The following is a 17,404-nucleotide window of genomic DNA, read 5'->3' as shown; positions in this document are numbered from 1 at the left end:
AGAGTTGAGTTTATTTTTCTTACACTTGTGTATCCTTTGGCATGTGTGCATCCTCTTCCCACCTCACCACTGCCAGCACGACCTCCAGCACCAACTTTTTAATAGTGATAGAATGATGATTTACCTGTTCGTGTCATGTTTATTCCTACTGTAGTTCTGAATGAGCTCATAGCTAATATTGTCCACCAAACTTAACACAGGCCAACCACTTAGAGAAGAAATTTTCTTCCCTCTCGTAGGGGTATACTGTGCCTCTTACTTTGGGTATAGATACCCCAGTTGTTTCACTTTGTCCTAGAGATACCAGCAACCAATTAGAAAAGAAATGGATTAAACAAGACTTTTAAGTTATTGGGCAGGTGAGAATGATTACAAATAAAAATACTTCGGTGGCGAATGTTAATTTAGTTATGGTGTGCTTTATCAAAGAAGTTCCAGATGTTTTTATGAAATCTCATTCTCTTGGGTCATTTATATCGTGAAGGAAAAAGAAAATGAAACTCATTGAAGCAATTATTGTATAAAATGGGCAGAAAGGTGGAAAGAGCAAAAGATTTTAATGTCAAAGTCAAAAGTAAATTCTTAATCTTCTTTGTATAAAACTAAATAATGGCTCAGAAAACAGACTTGAATTTTTATGTGTTGTGTTATCTATTTATTTGCTTTGCACCAATCTGGTTTAGTGCTTTGGCATGTTGTTGTCGTCATGGTCATTGGTCGTCGTATTCATAGCATAGCAGTGTGGTGTTCTTTTTGAGGACTCATGAGTTTATTGTATTTCTCTTTCATATTTGTATTTGACCAAGACAAATATCTTACTGAAAGGTATATTCTATTTTTTTTTTTTGCATTTGACCTTACAGCTCAATTTATTCTCCGTATGAGTAAAATATTCTCAGTAGCAATTTAGATCTTTTATAAATCAGGTAACTTGAAAGATAACAGTCTTTTGGTTGAAATTGATCACTTAAACAGTTTCTGCCCACCGAATAGTAATCTTAGGAAGGTTTGGATGACTGGATTTGTTTCTTTCTATAGAAGCTTATGCTTGAGAAGAAAATTAATACTTTCTAAAAATAATTTTTTAATATATTTAAAGTATAGAAACAATGTTAGATTTAAAATACTTTGTAAAGAGAAAAGAGTGTGTGGGTTTTTTGTTTTTAAGTTCCTTGGAGTTTTTTGGTCACTAACAAGTGCAAATAAAATCCTATTACAAAAAAAGGCTTTGTGTAACAGTTATCTATTTGGCAGATTATTCATATAAACAACTCTGTTAAAGCTTTGGCTGTTTATCACAGATACTGATGAGCTGCATTATATTAAAACTGAATGTGTTAGTGATCTGTATTTAATGTTCTAGTGGCTCCTGGTACAGTCCAGAACAAAACTACTTTTCCCTCTAGATATAATAAAATCTCTTAAGTGAGAATATTGGTATAACAGACATGTTTCTACCTCATCCTTTTCATTTATTGAAATTTTCTGTGTAAATCATCCTTTTATGTAGAGGATCCTATATAGATGTCCCCTTTTTGTGCAGTTTTAATATGTTAAATACTCAATTTTAAACAGATTTTCCCAAAGGTATGGGCAGTATCACAGGAGTGGGTTTGGATATTGGCATTAGAAAAACTATTGTAAAATATGTTCATGTTTCACCTGCTCAAAAATATAACATTTCAGGAGATAATAAATCTAGAATTGATGAAGATATTAAAACACTGAGGCATTTAGATTTCAATTTCCAAAGTTCCCAGATTTTTAATATTTTAACTTTGTGAATAAGTTTCTAGGGATTCTCAGTGCATGAGATTCTGTAACCTTAACTTTGGAGCCCTGGGTTCTAGAGATGATTGATCAGTCATAAGCTGGCAGAGTTGTCCTGCTTTCCAAGGTTATAATACCTTCAAATACTCATTGCTACAAAAATGATGGCATTCTCATTTCAAGTTTAGATCTGATCATTCATAAAACAGCCTAAACTTAAGAGTTTCCACAGTCCATAAAGCATCAAAAGCCATAAAATAATTCTTTTTTCCCTATTAAAGAAAAAGCCAAAAATATTTCTGTATTTTAGAATAAACATTTCCAGTTCCATTTTTAAAATATTAACAACATGTAAATTTAAATGCTTTTGTAACTGATAAAATGTTCTTTTGCATATTTCCCTACCATCCTCCTGCCCTTCTTCCTCAATTTGCTTTACACCCCTAACATTAACATTCTGTGAACAAATTTTTAAGGGTTGTTATAATGTATTCTATTTGTATCCTACAGTAATTTATTTGCATTTTAAAAGGAGTTTGAATACAGTGTGGCAATTTTGACAACCAGCAAGCTCATCAAAGTAAGATTCTACCTGTAATCTTATGATACACCAAATGCCTGCTCTATTCTGCCTAACACAGACAAGGATCCATCTTTACAGATGGAAAGAATAGCTGACATCTAGTAGCACTTACTCTTTGAGTTCCCTGAACTCTATTTCTAGTGTATGAATCACTCATAACCCACTTAAATTCAGATTGCTCACCAAAGCGATTAGGAAAAAGGTTTTTCCTACTGGGTACAAAGCATAAGGTATTTCACTCTTGTAGTTGTTGTGAATAACCTAGTTTCTGTACATAAGCTGGCTGGTCAGTGATTTATATCTAGGATAATGAAGTATGTGTGACTGCAGCAACATATTTAAACAAATGATGCACAATGTTGTACAGGAATATTACCTGTATTAAATAGGAGTAAAACATTTTCATTCATAGGCTGTCTAAATATCAATGGTTAAATTACTGAGTTTTGCTTTATTTTTACTCCAGAAGTATTTGTTGAGTTCCTACTACATGCGAGGCTCTTGACTGAGATAACTAATAAGATCCTTATAAGATTTTTCTATTCCAGAGTTTGGTTGTTTAGCTTTGAATTACCCATTCTTTAATACCTAACTTGACTTCTAGTAGTTCTTTACTTATTAGACTCTTCTTCTAAGGATAAACAGAAAAAGACTGTGTCCTAGATTTTACTTTTGAATAGGCAGGTGACAGGAAGCTGAAACCAGTGGCTTCAATGAGATTTAGGTTTCTTGTGGTTTTGAATTTTCTATATGACATTTCTGTTATCATTGCCATTTGACTAAGGAACTATGTTTACTGGTTTTGTAATAGTAGCATCTATTCTTTTGGAATCTGGACTTTGAACAATTCGTTTCACAGAGTCATTGAACAGCCAGTTCCTTCTCTCTTACTTAGAATTTTTCCAGGGAATTTTTCACATGGCAGGATAATGGAAGAAAAGCCATTTGGGTAACTCTTCTGTTACATTTGTATCCCTCCCCCCTTGGATCCCTACAGATAAATTCTTACCTTCTCTTCCTGCTAATTGACCAGCAGCACCCTGGATTGCTATCATCCCTTTGTCCAAAGAAATGGTGTAGCTGTATTCAAAGACCTATAAAATGTTATGTGCTATCTATTGCTACCTATAAAAAATACCTTTTTTTCTTTTTAAAATCAGGTTGTTTTAGAATAAATAAAGGAAAAGTCAATTAATGGAAAAATTTCAAGAACAGTTCACATAAAATTTTGGTCTATTTTAATTTTTTTTTTTACCTTTTCAAATCACATTTTAAAATAAGCAGTTGGAGAAAATGTAAAATGAAAAATATGTAAAGAATAGTTAGCATTAAACATCAGATCCAATTGTAAACTTACGTGAGATAATATGGATTTATATTTATTTTCTAGTAAAATAAAACTTATATGATTGCATAATTGATTATTGTATATGCAATACAAATTAAGTTCAAAAATGAAAGTTGAGCTTTTTTTGTCCTTTCAAATGTAGGGCCAGCATACAATTTTAAGAGCTATTTATTATAAAATTCATGGTGAATCACTATGAAAATTGATTTTTCCTTGAGCTTTTAATTACATTATCCATATTCCCTTACGAAGTTTTCCAAGTATAGAAGACCTACTTAATGGAGCAGTAATCAAATGCAAACTTAATTTAATGATCTCAAATAAAAGGTTCTACTTTTCTGGAAATAAGATTAAACCAGATATTAAAATTATGTATGATTATAAAAGTAAAGATTACCATTATTGTAATAATTGACCAATTTAGTACTTTCAAGTTATTTAGTTACATTTTCTCAGTTCTAGTTTGGTGTGGTAAAGCATTATTTGAAAAGGCAGTATAGGAAGAATACAGATAGTATTCTTCAGTACAGATAATACCGCTGTACAGTACAGATAATATTACTGCTATTACAGAATCAGCAAGTTGAATGCATGCTTCAGGGAATAGGGAAATGAATGCGGACTTTTTCTAACTGATTTAGATGGTCTGTCTGACCTCTCTAGAAAAATATGTGTGTATGTATATTTTGAAATATATAAGGAATGTTAAGTCTTTCTCTTCCCCTTTTTAGCCTTAGATTGTAAGCAAAAGAAATCAAGGTCAAGATCTGGAAGCAAGAAGAAAATGCTAACATTACCTCATGGTGCTGACGAGGTTTACATTCTCCGATGCAGGTATATGCCTATATTGCCAAATCTGATCAGTTTCTTCATACTTTGCTTTGAAACATATTAGCTATTTCATTTGGGATTTTTAATTTGTGGCAGAGTGCATTCTCAACAATCAAGTTATAAATGAACTTTTGGAGATAGGCTTAAAATCTTAATTCAGCTCACAATATCCGTACTTCAACAACTAATGAATCAAGTTTTTTACATTAGCCAATAGTAATGTAAATCTATTATACTGTGATTTATTAAAGTAGCTTGGCCAGGTGTGGTGGCTCATGCCTGTAATTCCAGCACTTTGGGTGGCCAAGATGGGTGGATCACTTGAGGCCAGGAGTTCAAGAGCAGCCTGGCCAACATGATGAAACCTCGTGTCTACTAAAAATACCAAAATTAGCCAGGCTTTGTAGCGGGTGCCTGTAATCCCAGCTACTTGGGAGGCTGAGGCAGGAGAATTGCTTGAGCCCAGGAGGCAGAGGTTGCAGTGGGCCGAGATCGTGCCACTGCACTCCAGCCTGAGCGACAGAGCAAGACTCTGTCTCAGAAAAAAGAAAAAAAAACTGGCTTTCCTTGTGTTTATTTGGTTTGTATGGTTTAATTTTGTTTGGTTTGATGTTTTGTTGTCTTGAGTTCTCGCTTATTGGGAACACATTTTCTCTCCCCTCATAGTCACGCCTTCTTCCGTACTCACACTCACACACAACACACATGAAGAAACATAGACACAATGCCATTTAAGGAATGCTAAACTGGGGAAGGGTCTTTTCTAAAGAATGACATATTTTGGAGTAATAGTTGTTGTTTCAAGTGAATTAAGATGTGTAGATGTTAATTTTAAAATAATAATGCTCCCACCTATACAAAGATTACTGGAGTTTATTATAGCTGTTAATAAACATATGAATTGGGAGTTTTGATGTTTTATTAAATCATTTGACTTTAGAAACTTTATCAATTGCTGTCTTTAAAATATGATAAAGTTTATTCCTTATGTTTTAGGATTTTGTGTGAATTAGTTTTAAAGAAAGAGAATTGGTCATGTTAAGAGAATTGTTATCTTTCTGTAGGTTTTGTGGCCTAGTCTTTCGAGGACCCTTGTCTGTTCAGGAAGACTGGATTAAGCACTTACAACGACATATTGTAAACGCTAATCTTCCACGGACTGGAGCTGGCATGGTGGAAGTCACGTCACTACTTAAAAAGCCTGCCTCCATTACAGAAACTTCATTTTCTCTACTAATGGCCGAAGCAGCTTCATAGAACCAGGAAACCTTTTAAATAGCCAGTTTGAATTGGATGTAAATTTGAAATTCTTTTTTTTTAAGCCACATTAAATTATCTGTTTATAAATACTAAAGCAGGAAAATGGGGGGAAAGTGAATTACAGTGACATCAGAGCAAATTGAATACTTAAAACAGTAAGTAGTCTATATATTTTATATAGGGTGGAAGATGTGTTTTTAAGGTTTATGAAGTTTTGTTGGTTAACTGTGTTCACTCAGTAAAAGAGCAGTACATGTAAGCAGCCATTAATAAACTGTTGCACATGGATACTTATAGACAGACTTATTGGACAATTATGTTTTTTGCAGTGTTACCAGAATCAAGGCTCTGTTTATTCCCCACAAGACTTGCATAGAAAAATAAGATATTATATTTTGTTTGTATGTATTTAGTGTTTTGTATAATACCAAGAACCGCTGACTAAATTTACTCAAATTAGGGCATTAAATATCATGTACTTCATAGTTTGAGACTGTTCACTCAAATAGGGCAGAGTACTATTCTATCTAGATGTGTAAGTGTTTTTTTTAAAATCACATGGAACGGTTTTTTTTATACTAAAAAGTGGAGGGAGATTTGTTTAAACAAGTATTTCTAAAAGAAATATGTACATAGTTCTGGAAATTATTTGTGGTAAGGAAATATTCTTTACTCCAGTTGCATTTCTCAGACAATAAAGTGGTGCATCCATGCTACCTCCTACTTTGTCAACAAAGATGCTATTTACCCTTTACATTTTTGTATCATAATAGATTTTAAAAATCTAATGTTCTTTATTGCAAGACATTCTTTTGTTAACAGGTTTGTTTCTTTTTAATGTTTTACCTAAAATTTGACATGCTTACAGGACAGGTTTGCCTCTTACTTTATTTAACATTGTAGAAATGTAATTAATAAACAATGCTCACTACACAGTTTAGAATAGACGTTCTCATTTATATTATCTTCCAAATTTGATCAGTTAGCAAAACTTAATACACCAATTAAAATATTTCTACATATGAGAATGTTTACAATTTAAATTTTAGAACTTGTTTTGGATGTGATTATATGTACGAAAATCGTGTAACACTATGCTCATGCTAAGAACCGACATAACAGAATTACTGAAATAAATGTGCTGTGAGGAATGGAAAATATGGTGCAGGTGTCTTGGTCATGATAAATTGTGATTCTTTTTAAAAATTTTTTCCAAAAACAATTAGGTATTTTAATCTGAAATCAGATTCCTTTACAAACAACAAGTTTTTGTATGCAAGCACCATTTTATTTCATGTAGTATGGCTAATACTATAGTTGAACCAAGGATATGCATTGATTCTTTGCTTCGTATGTAAATAAAGTTAAAAACAGTTAAAATAAGGAGTATTTTGGTAGAGTATATACATACCTCACTGCCAGTGAAATTGCTTTCCTATGGTATATCTCCTTACCAGAAAAATCTCTAAATAAAAAAAGGTTTAAAGAAAATTAAAATGTGAAACATTTCTTATTTTTATCATTGGTGGTAATAGTTCACTTCAGGTTGTGTTTCATTGGATTTAAATTGTTTATCCTTGCCAGGTTACTTGGATCACAGAGCATAGTTTTTCTAGAATCACCTCATTGGTCAATATAATGTATGTGAGAAAAATCATTTTCCCCCTTTCATGATTAATCAAACCTCTAAATTCAGAGCCATCTTATATGCAAAATTAGAAGGTTGGACTAGTTGGATCATTCCCAACCAAGGGTCTCCTGATCCTTAGGTTAATAGATAAGGGAATAGTACTTGTAAGTTATTTTCAATTTTACAAAAGTCCCGATAAAAACTATGTATTTGTCTATAGTGACAAAACTAACTAAAACATCCCATTTCTTTACTTTTGACTGAAAATATACCAAGTCTGTATATATTGGTTATCTCTTACTGAACAAGTTTCGTTGATAGTTATATGTCTTTGAATATATATTTTTAAATTGGAAGACATACTACATAGCAAGTGGAGTCCAGAAGTAAAAACCAAACAAACAAACAAAAATCATAGGAATCTTGTGGGAAGGCTAGTAATCACTAGAGCCCCTTTCCACTCTAATTCTTTTTTTTTTTCTTTAAAGACAGAGTTTTACTCTGTCACCCAGGCTGGAGTGCAATGGTGTGATCATATCTCACTGCAGACTCAACCTCTCAGGACTCAAGTGATCCTCCCACTTCAGCCTCCCAAGTAGCTGGAATTAAAAGCACATGTCATCACTCTTGGCTAGTTTTTGTATTTTTCGTAGAGACAGAGTTTTACCATGTTGCCCAGGCTGTGCTTGAACTCCTGGGCTCAAGAGATCCTTCCGCCTCCGCCTCTCAAAGTGTTGAGATTACAGGCATGAGCCACCACACCTGGCCTCCTAATTCTTACACTTCTATGATTTTGTCTTATCAGGCCAAATATCAACATGTGTGAATACAAGTAGAAGAATTAGTTTGACCACAAGTTTCGGAATCAAAACTACATTTAATTTTAAAATATGTTGAACTATATGTAAACAATTATTTCTCCTTCTAGTTATATAAAGAATTCAGTCATCAGAATAAAATATTTCACATCAGAAACAGTAGACTAGAGTGACTCCTGAAAAGTAAATTAAGCAAAGAGCATTTTTCATAGTAAAGATATTTGGGTTACAAAATTTAAAGAATTCTTTAGGAAGCATTCAAAATTCGTCTTTTATTTGGCAACTAGAAAATTAATAATATGTTTTCATTTGGTTCCCACTAGAAGAAAAGTATAAAATATTGTCTCAATTTACATGATAGATTTTTATGTCAGCATATGGCCTGATTTATCATTCAGTATTGACTAATTTTCTTTTAATTCTTTTACCATTGCCTGAGATATGCAAGCTTCTAATGCTAAATTAGGGCTTTAAAAAATTCCAGTCTGGGCCAGGCGCAGTGGCTCACGCCTGTAATCCCAGCACTTTGGGAGGCCGAGGCGGGCGGATCGCGAAGTCGGGAGATCGAGACCATCCTGGCTAACACAGTGAAACCCCGTCTCTACTAAAAATACAAAAAAATTAGCAGGCGTTGCTGCGTGCGCCTCTAGTCCCAGCTGCTGGGGAGGCTGAGGCAGGAGAATGGCATGAACCTGGGAGGTGGAGCTTGCAGTGAGCCAAGATGGTGCCACTGCACTACAGCCTGGGTGACAGAGCAAGACTCCGTCTCAAAAAAAAAAAAAAATTCCAGGCTGCAGTGTTGATTTATTTAATGGCTTCAAGACAAAAAGGTTAACTTCTATGTATTATTTTCCACTATACTTCTTTAGAGTATATTAGAACTGTGGCATAACTCATATCTGTATTTTAGATTTTACTTATTTAATTATGGGTTGGGGAGATAATGATTTCTCAGTAATTTACTAGACAAACTTTTTTAAAGGACATATACATAACTTCTCAAGGACTGTCCAATTAGAATACAAAGTCCAAAGGATCACTCTGGGTTTTTCCTCACTAAGAAAATGTAATAGACCAGGCACAGTAGCTCACGCCTGTAATCCCAGCACTTTTGCAGGCTGAGGTAGAAGGATCACTTGAGCCCAGGAGTTCAAAATCAGCCTGAGCAACATAGTAAGACCCCATCTCTGAAAGAATTAAAAAAAAAGGCATGGTGGTGTGCACCAGTAGTCCCAGCTACTCAGGAGGCTGAGGTGGGAGGATTGCTTGAGCCCAGGAGTTCAAGGTGAACACAGTGAGCTATGACCATGCCACTGCCCTCCATACTGGGGCAACAGAGTGAGGCCCAGTCTCTTAAAAAAAAAAATGTAATCTATGCCCATTTAAAAAATATTAGAAAAACAAAAAAATAAAAATTGGGGAAATCACCTGTGATAGTATCACTCAAAGATACCTACTTTTAAATAGCTTGATATATTTATTTCTTTTATCTATCTTACTATTTCAATATAATTATGATCAGAATGTATTATAACGTATCTTGTTTTACCATTAATTTTAAATTCAGGTGCTGTATTGTATAGATTAACCTTTGAATACCACATAAATATATGTTAACCCTTGAATGTGACAGAAGCCAGTCCCCATCTGTGATATTTCAAATGACAGACTAGAATCACTTTTCATCCCCACTGCAGAAGATAGCTATCATATTTATTTCAACAATGGGAACTTGTTTTCTTATTTTGAGGGCCAGCCACATTCAATTATAGATCTTTCATCAGTAGCCATACCTTTACTACAACCTTGGTTTTTCTTATCACAAATTATTGAATAATACCTGTAATAGTTTAGGCAAACGACAACTGTAATAATAAATAAAATTTACAGAATTGATTCTTCATACTGCATGGTTCTTAGATTAGACCAGAAGTCAAGGTGAACAAAGAGTGCATATAATCTAATAAATTATTGATTTATTTCTTGTTAAAATTTTAGATAAGAAAAAGAAAAAAATACTTATAATTCCCTACATTAAAAATTCATCATATGCCCCCTAGTCTTTTTTTTCTGTTTGTAGAATTTTTCCTTTAAAAAAAAAAAAAAAAGAATTTGCTATGTAGAAATTGACCCTTTATTCTATTAGCAGTAGATCCATGAGCATTTTCATGCCACTAAATATTCATCTTAAATATACTTAAATTTTTTACAATTTTCCATTATCCTATACATTATTTACTCCTCCATTATTACTCATGTTATATTGTCTCCAGGATTGGGCATCATAAAGAATACTTTTGTCGGCCCAGCACAGTGGCTCATGCCTGTAATCCCAGCACTTTGGGAGGCTGAGGTGGGCAGATCACCTGAGGTCAGGAGTTCAAGACCAGCCTGATCAACATGGTGAAACTCCTTCTCTACTAAAAATACAAAAATTAACTGGGCATGGTGGCAGGCGCCTGTAATCCCAGCTACTTGGGAGGCTGAGGCAGGAGAATCACTTGAACCCAGAAGGTGGAGATTGCAGTGAGCTGAGATTGTGCCATTGCACTCTAGTCTGGGCAACGGAGTGAGACTCAGTCTCAAAAAAAAATGTTTTTGATGATTATTCTTGCAGTAAATTGTACACATCCAAAATTATTTCCTTAGAATAAATTTCTAGTAGTAGAGTTAATCAAGAGTTGAATATTCCTCAGTTGAGGCTTTATGTATACATTTCCAAATTACTATTCAGAAAGGTTATATAACTATATTCTCCTAACTTCAATGTATGGAGACTGGTTTCAGTTCCTCTCATCCTTGCCAGTATATTCTAAACGAAACAAAACTTTGCTTATTTAGTATGTAAAAAGTGGTATTGTGTTCATTTTTAACTGGTAAATGAAAACAAAATATGTGAACTTTTGTTCTTAAAGACATTACCTTTCTGATTTAAAATGAATATAATTATATATAATAACATAATACATACAATTATATTTTGCTGGATAATATGTCTAAAATAACTTAAGCTCTGATTTCATAATTGGCCACCAGGATAATGGAGAGTTTTAAGTGTCCTTAACCTGTAGTCTTTTTCAAGAGATCTTTGACTATTGTATTATGTGGTGTGTCTATACATTTTTCTGGGAGCTCCATAGCACTTAATTGCTCTGTGACCCCCACCTACCCCCAAAAAAGTAAACAGTAACTTCTTTGAAAGTAGCATATGTCACCATATCAACTGTCAAGTGTTTTGTGTTTTTGAGTATAATCCTAGACAAATTTTAATTAAAATTAACCCTCAAAATCTTCCGGCATATAAATTGGTGTTTGGGAATTAAAAAAAAACTTCTGGCATAGGTTTTTTCGTTTGCTTTTATATAATGTGAAAAATAGCATTAAATGTGAATTGTTTTGTGTCTTCTGAACAAGTTGGTAGACAAATATTATTTAGAAGTTTGCTCTAAAAAGATGATTTCTTAAGGATATAAATCCAGAGATTTAGTTCTTTCTTAAGTTTCTAAGGTCAAACTCGTGGTTTTTTGTTTGTTTTTTTCTATTGATGAGTTTAGCAAATTTCAGCAAATACTTTGAAGTAAGGAGCTTTTAGATAATGTGTAGTCACATTTACAACCTTAGTAGAATTTTAAAAACATTTAAAAGTGCATTTCTAAATTCAGTATATTCAGTTTCTATTTCAAGAACCTCTGTTCCCTGATTTAAAACCTTTTCAAGTACATAAGTATCTTTTATAAATAGAACAAATTAGTCTTAATATGTAGAACCTTGAATTATCTTGGCTATTTCAATGCCTCAGATAACTTAATAAGATTTCTACTTTAAAATGATTAGTACAAGTCCATGTTGATTACTCATTTACACATTTTTAGATTGGATTTAGGAGGCTGAACTGTTAGGCTAATAGACCAGATAATTCTTAAATATTATAAATACTCAAAATGTTTAAAGTATGAACAAATTGCCACTTACCAAATTGGCTTTATTGTGAGATAAAGTACGTAAATATGTTACTCTGATATTTAAAGAAATAACCTTAATTACCCTAAAGACAAGATGTAGAACATTGCCAGCATCCCCAATTAAATTCTCTTTCTTCTGTTTACCATTATTCTGACTTTTCTAATAATCATTTGTTTACCATTCTTAATAGTTTGACCTCTTAGAAAGCATGCAGTCTGCTTTGTCCTCATAGAAATGGAATTACACTGCGTGTCCTCTTTTGTGACCTGTTGCTTTTGCTTAATACCGTCTTTGAAGTTCATCTCTGTTTTTGTTAGTAACTATAGTTTATTCATTTTCATTGTTGTATTTTTTTTTTTTTTTTTTGAGGCGGAGTCTTCTCTGTTGCCCAGGCTTGAGTGCAGTGGCGCAATCTTGGCTTACTGCAACCCTCGCCTCCCGGGTTCAAGCAATTCTCCTGCCTCAGCCTCCTGAGTAGCTGGGATTACAAGCGCCCACCACCATGCCCGGCTAATTTTTTTGTATTTTCAGTAGAGATGGGGTTTCACCATGTTGGCCAGGCTGGTCTCGAACTCCTGACCTCAAATGATCCACCCGCCTCAGCCTCCCAAAGTGCTGGCATTACAGGAGTGAGCCACCACACCCGGCTTCACTGTTGTATATTATTATTATAGATATGACACATTTAATTATCCATTTTTGTTCTTGATAGACATTTGAGTTGTTTTCAGCTTATGGCTTTTAAAAGCTGTGGAGCTATGAACACTTTTATTATGTCTCATGATGAACATCTGTGGGTTTCTCTTAAGGTACATGCCAAGGAGTGGGATTTTTTAGTCATAGACTATATAGTTTATGCTTCTTAGATAAAGCCAAACTTTTCTAAAAAATGATTGTGCATGTTTTTACTCCCAGAAGGACTGTGTCAGAGTTCTTATTCCTCTGTATTCTCACTAACACAGTCAGACTTTTAAATTTTTACTCATTGGTGCATATAAATGATATTTCATTGTGAACTTAATTTACATTTCCCTGATTACTATAAGGCTGATTATTCTTTCTTAGGTTTATTGGCCACCTATGTTTCTCTTTTGAAAAATGTTTTTACTGATCGCCCATTTTTTTCTATTGGGGTGTCTGTCTTTTTCCATATTGACTCTTAGCAATTCCATTAATCCTTAGGTTGTATGTGTTGCAGATATCCTCTACTTTGTGACTGTACTTTTCACTTGCTTTATGGTGACTTCCAATAAATCCTTTTAAATTTTTTAGTCATTTTATGGCACATGTTCTTGGCTTTTGTATGTCTGGTGATGCCTTTATTTGGTTAATTTTTTTTTTCACTGTTTAGGGTTTATTTGATGTTTTAGTTAGTATGGATATTCACTTAATTCTAGAATGATATTTTTACTGGGTATGGAATTCTATATTGATAGTTATTTTTTCCTCACAGATTGAGGCTATTCCATCATTTTCTGCCTTGTTCTTGGAAGTTCAGTTGTTGCTCATCTTAAAATAATCTGTTCTCTATTTTCTGGCTGATTTTTAGACATTTATATTAATCTCGAGTTTTTAAAGTTTTCCTCTAATATGTCTGTGGGAATTTTTTTGTTGTTGTCAAGTTTGAGATCTCTGCTGGGATTCTGGAAATTTCCTGGCTGTTATTTATCTCTCAACTGTTTTTTCTGCCCCATTTTCTCTCTCTGGTTCTTTTGGGACTCTAAATATAAGTTAAATCCTTCTCACTGTGCTTTCTAGATTTTTTGTCTTCTCTGTTTTCTTTCTCTTTGTCTCTCTGTGCTGCATTCTAGTTTCTTCCCCTGATTTTCTCAGCGACTGTTACTTCAGTTATACTATTATTCAGATCTAGAATTTCCATTGGCTCTTTTTCAGATATACTTTTTATTGTTTTTAGTACCCTAGGTTGGCTTTTATTTCTTTGAATATGGTGCAAATAGTTATTTTTACATTCTGTGTTTGATAGTTCTGGGACTCCAAAATGTGGGTCAGATTCTGTTAGTAGTTGATTTTTTCTGCTTGTTCATGGCGTCTTGTTTTCTTATATGCCCATATGTTTGACTATGTGGTGGACATTGTATTTGAAATGTATTATAGAACTATTTTCAGGCCTAGGACAGTATCTTCTCCCATAGGATTTTCATTTACTTCTGCCAGGTGTCTAGGGGTGCTACTAGTTCAGAACACCCTAATCCAAGTTCATGTCTTGCATTTACCTGGCCTACTAAGATGACCCAAAGTCAGGCTATAAGAGCTATCTCATGGGAAGGCTGGTTTTACAACTGGTTCACCTTTTGCCCTGTGGGTATAGTTTTGTTCTTCTAGCCCCATGAGGCCATTGAAAGTGCAATTTAGTTTTATAGCTATTTATTCAGATCGGACATTTCCCCCTGGGCAAAACTAAAATGTATCCCTGCTGGATGGCCTCACTGAGTTTCTTGTCTTAAGATTTTTTTTTTTTCTGTGAACTCTGCGGAGAAGTATCTTTCGGATTTTTGGCTCAGTAATCCTTCACTGTCATATTAGTTCTTTGATGCCTATATGAAGTTTTTGTTTTTATTAATCCAACATTTTAATAAATCATTATAAATTTTCTGAGATTGGGCATGTTGTATGTTTTGTTCACTTCTATTCTAGAAGAGTACTGGTATATAGCATGCATCCAGTAGTTACCGAATGATTGAGTTTTGTTTGTTTTTGTTGTTTTTTGTTTTTTTGAGTCTGAATCTTGCTCTATCGCCTAGGCTGGAGTGCAGTGGCATGATCTCAGCTCACTGCAACCTCCGCCTCCTGGGTTCAAGCGATTCTTGTGACTCAGCCTCCCGAGTAGCTGGGATTACAGGCACCTGCCACCATACCCAGCTAATTTTTGTATTTTTAGTAGAGATGGGGTTTCACCATATCGGCCAGGTTGGTCTCAAACTCCTGATCTCAAGTGATCCACCCACCTTGGTCTCCCAAAGTGCTCAGAAGACAGACATGAGCCACTGCGCCCAGCCTGTGAATTAGCTATTTTAAAGCATTGCGTTTTTTTCTTCCACGTATATTTTAGAATTAGTTTGTCAAATTTGGGAACATCCTGAGATTTGGCTTAGAACTACACTGTAATTTGTGGAAAACGGGAAAATATAAGTCTTCCCTCTTAGGAACATGATATGTTTTTCCATTTATCTTTGTATTTTATGTCCTATGGGAAAGTCCTATAGTTTTCTTTATAGAGAACTGCACATTTCTTTTAAAATGTATTTTTATGTATCTTAGTTTTTGTTTTTGTTGCTAGTGAAAGAGGGGTTTTTATACCAGAATTTTCTAATTCAATATTGATACAAAGGAATCCATTCAATCCTATCATGCTGAACTCATATTCTAATATTTTTTCTGTAAGTTATCTTGAAATTTCTAAGTAGCCAATCATCTCAAAAAATCATCTCTTGCTTTCCAATTTTATTCCTATTCTTTTTCTTGTGTTCTTATATTATGAAGGATCCCCAGTACAGTATTAGCAATATATTAGCAGGTATTTCTCTCTTGCTTCAGATTATAACAAGGATACTGCTGTCATTATTGAATGTAATTTTGCTGAAAGTTTCTTGTAAACAGTTTGAGTTGAAAAGAGTTTATTTCTTGTTGGATAAGGGTTTTTGCATGTTTTTGTTTCAAATAACAAAGGAAACATCGATTTTAATAAGTATTAACTTTTGTTGAGATTGCCATGTGATTTTTTTCTTCTTTAATCGGTTGATACTAATAAAATATATTAATAGGCTTTTAAACATTAAGTCATCCTTAAATGCCTTTTTATAATCATGATGTGTTGGTTAATACTGTACAATTGATTTGTTTCTGCAGGTTGAGTATCCCTAATCTGAAAATCCAAAATGCTCCAAAATCCTTGAGTCACTCCCTTGAGTGTTGACATGATGCCACAAATGGAAAATTCCACACCTGACCTCATGTGACAAGTCACAGTTAAAACAGTCAAAACTTTGTTTCATGCACAAAATTATTTAGAATACTGTATAAAATTACCTTCAGACTGTGTATAAGGTGTATATGAAACAAATGAATGTTGTGTTTATACTTGGATCACATCCCCAATATGTTATGTAAATAATATAAGGATTATGTATATAACCTAATAATTTCTTTGGGTTTTGAAATATTTGCATATCTAATATAGAATATTTGCATAAATCTAATATATGTAAATATTTCAAAACCTAAAGAAATCCAAAATCTGAAACACTTCTGTTCTTAAGCATTTCAGATAAGGGATACTCAATCCATATTTCATTGAGGAATTTTTTTCATATATGTTTATTAGTAATATTGGCCTGTACCTTTCTTCTGCCTTACTTGTCTGGAATCTAAGTTGGGCTAGCCTAAGAAAATGAGTTAGGAAATTTAAATTTGTCTATGCTTTGACAGGGTTTTCATATCATGGACAATATTGCTTTCTTAAAGATTTGATGGTACTCATCCATAAACTCATCTGAGCCTGTTACCTTTTGAGAGATCAATATTTTGGAGAAGTTTACTGTTTCTTCTATAATCATAGATTGTTAGGGTTTTTTTCTTCTTTTTGAGCCAATTTTGGTTATACGTTCCTAGAAGAGTATCTATCTATCCTAGATTTTCCAAAATTTTGGAGTAACTTCTAGATAATATCCTCTTAAAAGTTATTTAATCTCTGTCATTTCCTCATTTACTGATGTTTTATTCTCTTTTTCCTTAATTAAACTTACTGAAGGTTTTTTCTGGGGTGTTTGTTTTTCAGTCTTTACAAGAACTTACTCTTGGTATTTTATTTATTAACTCTTCTACCTTCCAACCTAAATTTTATTTCCCACCTTTCTGGTTTTCTAGTAATTACATGTAAGGCTACATGTTTTTCTGTCCATGTCAATTTGATATCCCACAGGTGTAGATATACTAGAGCTATTGTTATTTACTTTTTACATTATATTTCAACTTTGATTTACTTTTTAACCAATTTCTACAGAACTTTTGGGAATTTGTTGAAATTTTTTCTGTGGTCTAAGATCTGTAATTACTTGTTGGTAGTGTTTAATGTGTTTGAAAATAATGTATAATCTTTTTTTGGTATAGAATTTTATATATTCGTGATATATCGTTTATTTACATATATTTTAAAATATAATTTATATCATATATATAGTCTG

General features: G+C 33.4%; 1 protein-coding gene across 21 annotated transcripts in view; it reads left to right on the top strand.

Moving 5' to 3' along the window:
* ZNF644 (zinc finger protein 644) overlaps nucleotides 1-7,283 on the top strand; it is a 106,732-nt gene extending 99,449 nt beyond the window's left edge. For all 21 annotated transcript variants that reach the window (NM_032186.5, NM_201269.3, XM_011542258.4 and 18 more), the window contains 2 exons: nucleotides 4,433-4,535; nucleotides 5,597-7,283. In NM_032186.5, the coding sequence (NP_115562.3) occupies nucleotides 4,433-4,535; nucleotides 5,597-5,789 (296 nt within the window). In that variant the 3' untranslated portion in view covers nucleotides 5,790-7,283. The remainder of the gene's footprint in view (nucleotides 1-4,432; nucleotides 4,536-5,596) is intronic.

Source organism: Homo sapiens, chromosome 1, assembly GCF_000001405.40.
Source record: "Homo sapiens chromosome 1, GRCh38.p14 Primary Assembly".
Lineage (NCBI taxonomy): Eukaryota > Metazoa > Chordata > Mammalia > Primates > Hominidae > Homo > Homo sapiens.
The sequence above is the reverse complement of the archived record's forward strand: the minus strand, read 5'-3'. Positions and strand labels throughout refer to the sequence as shown.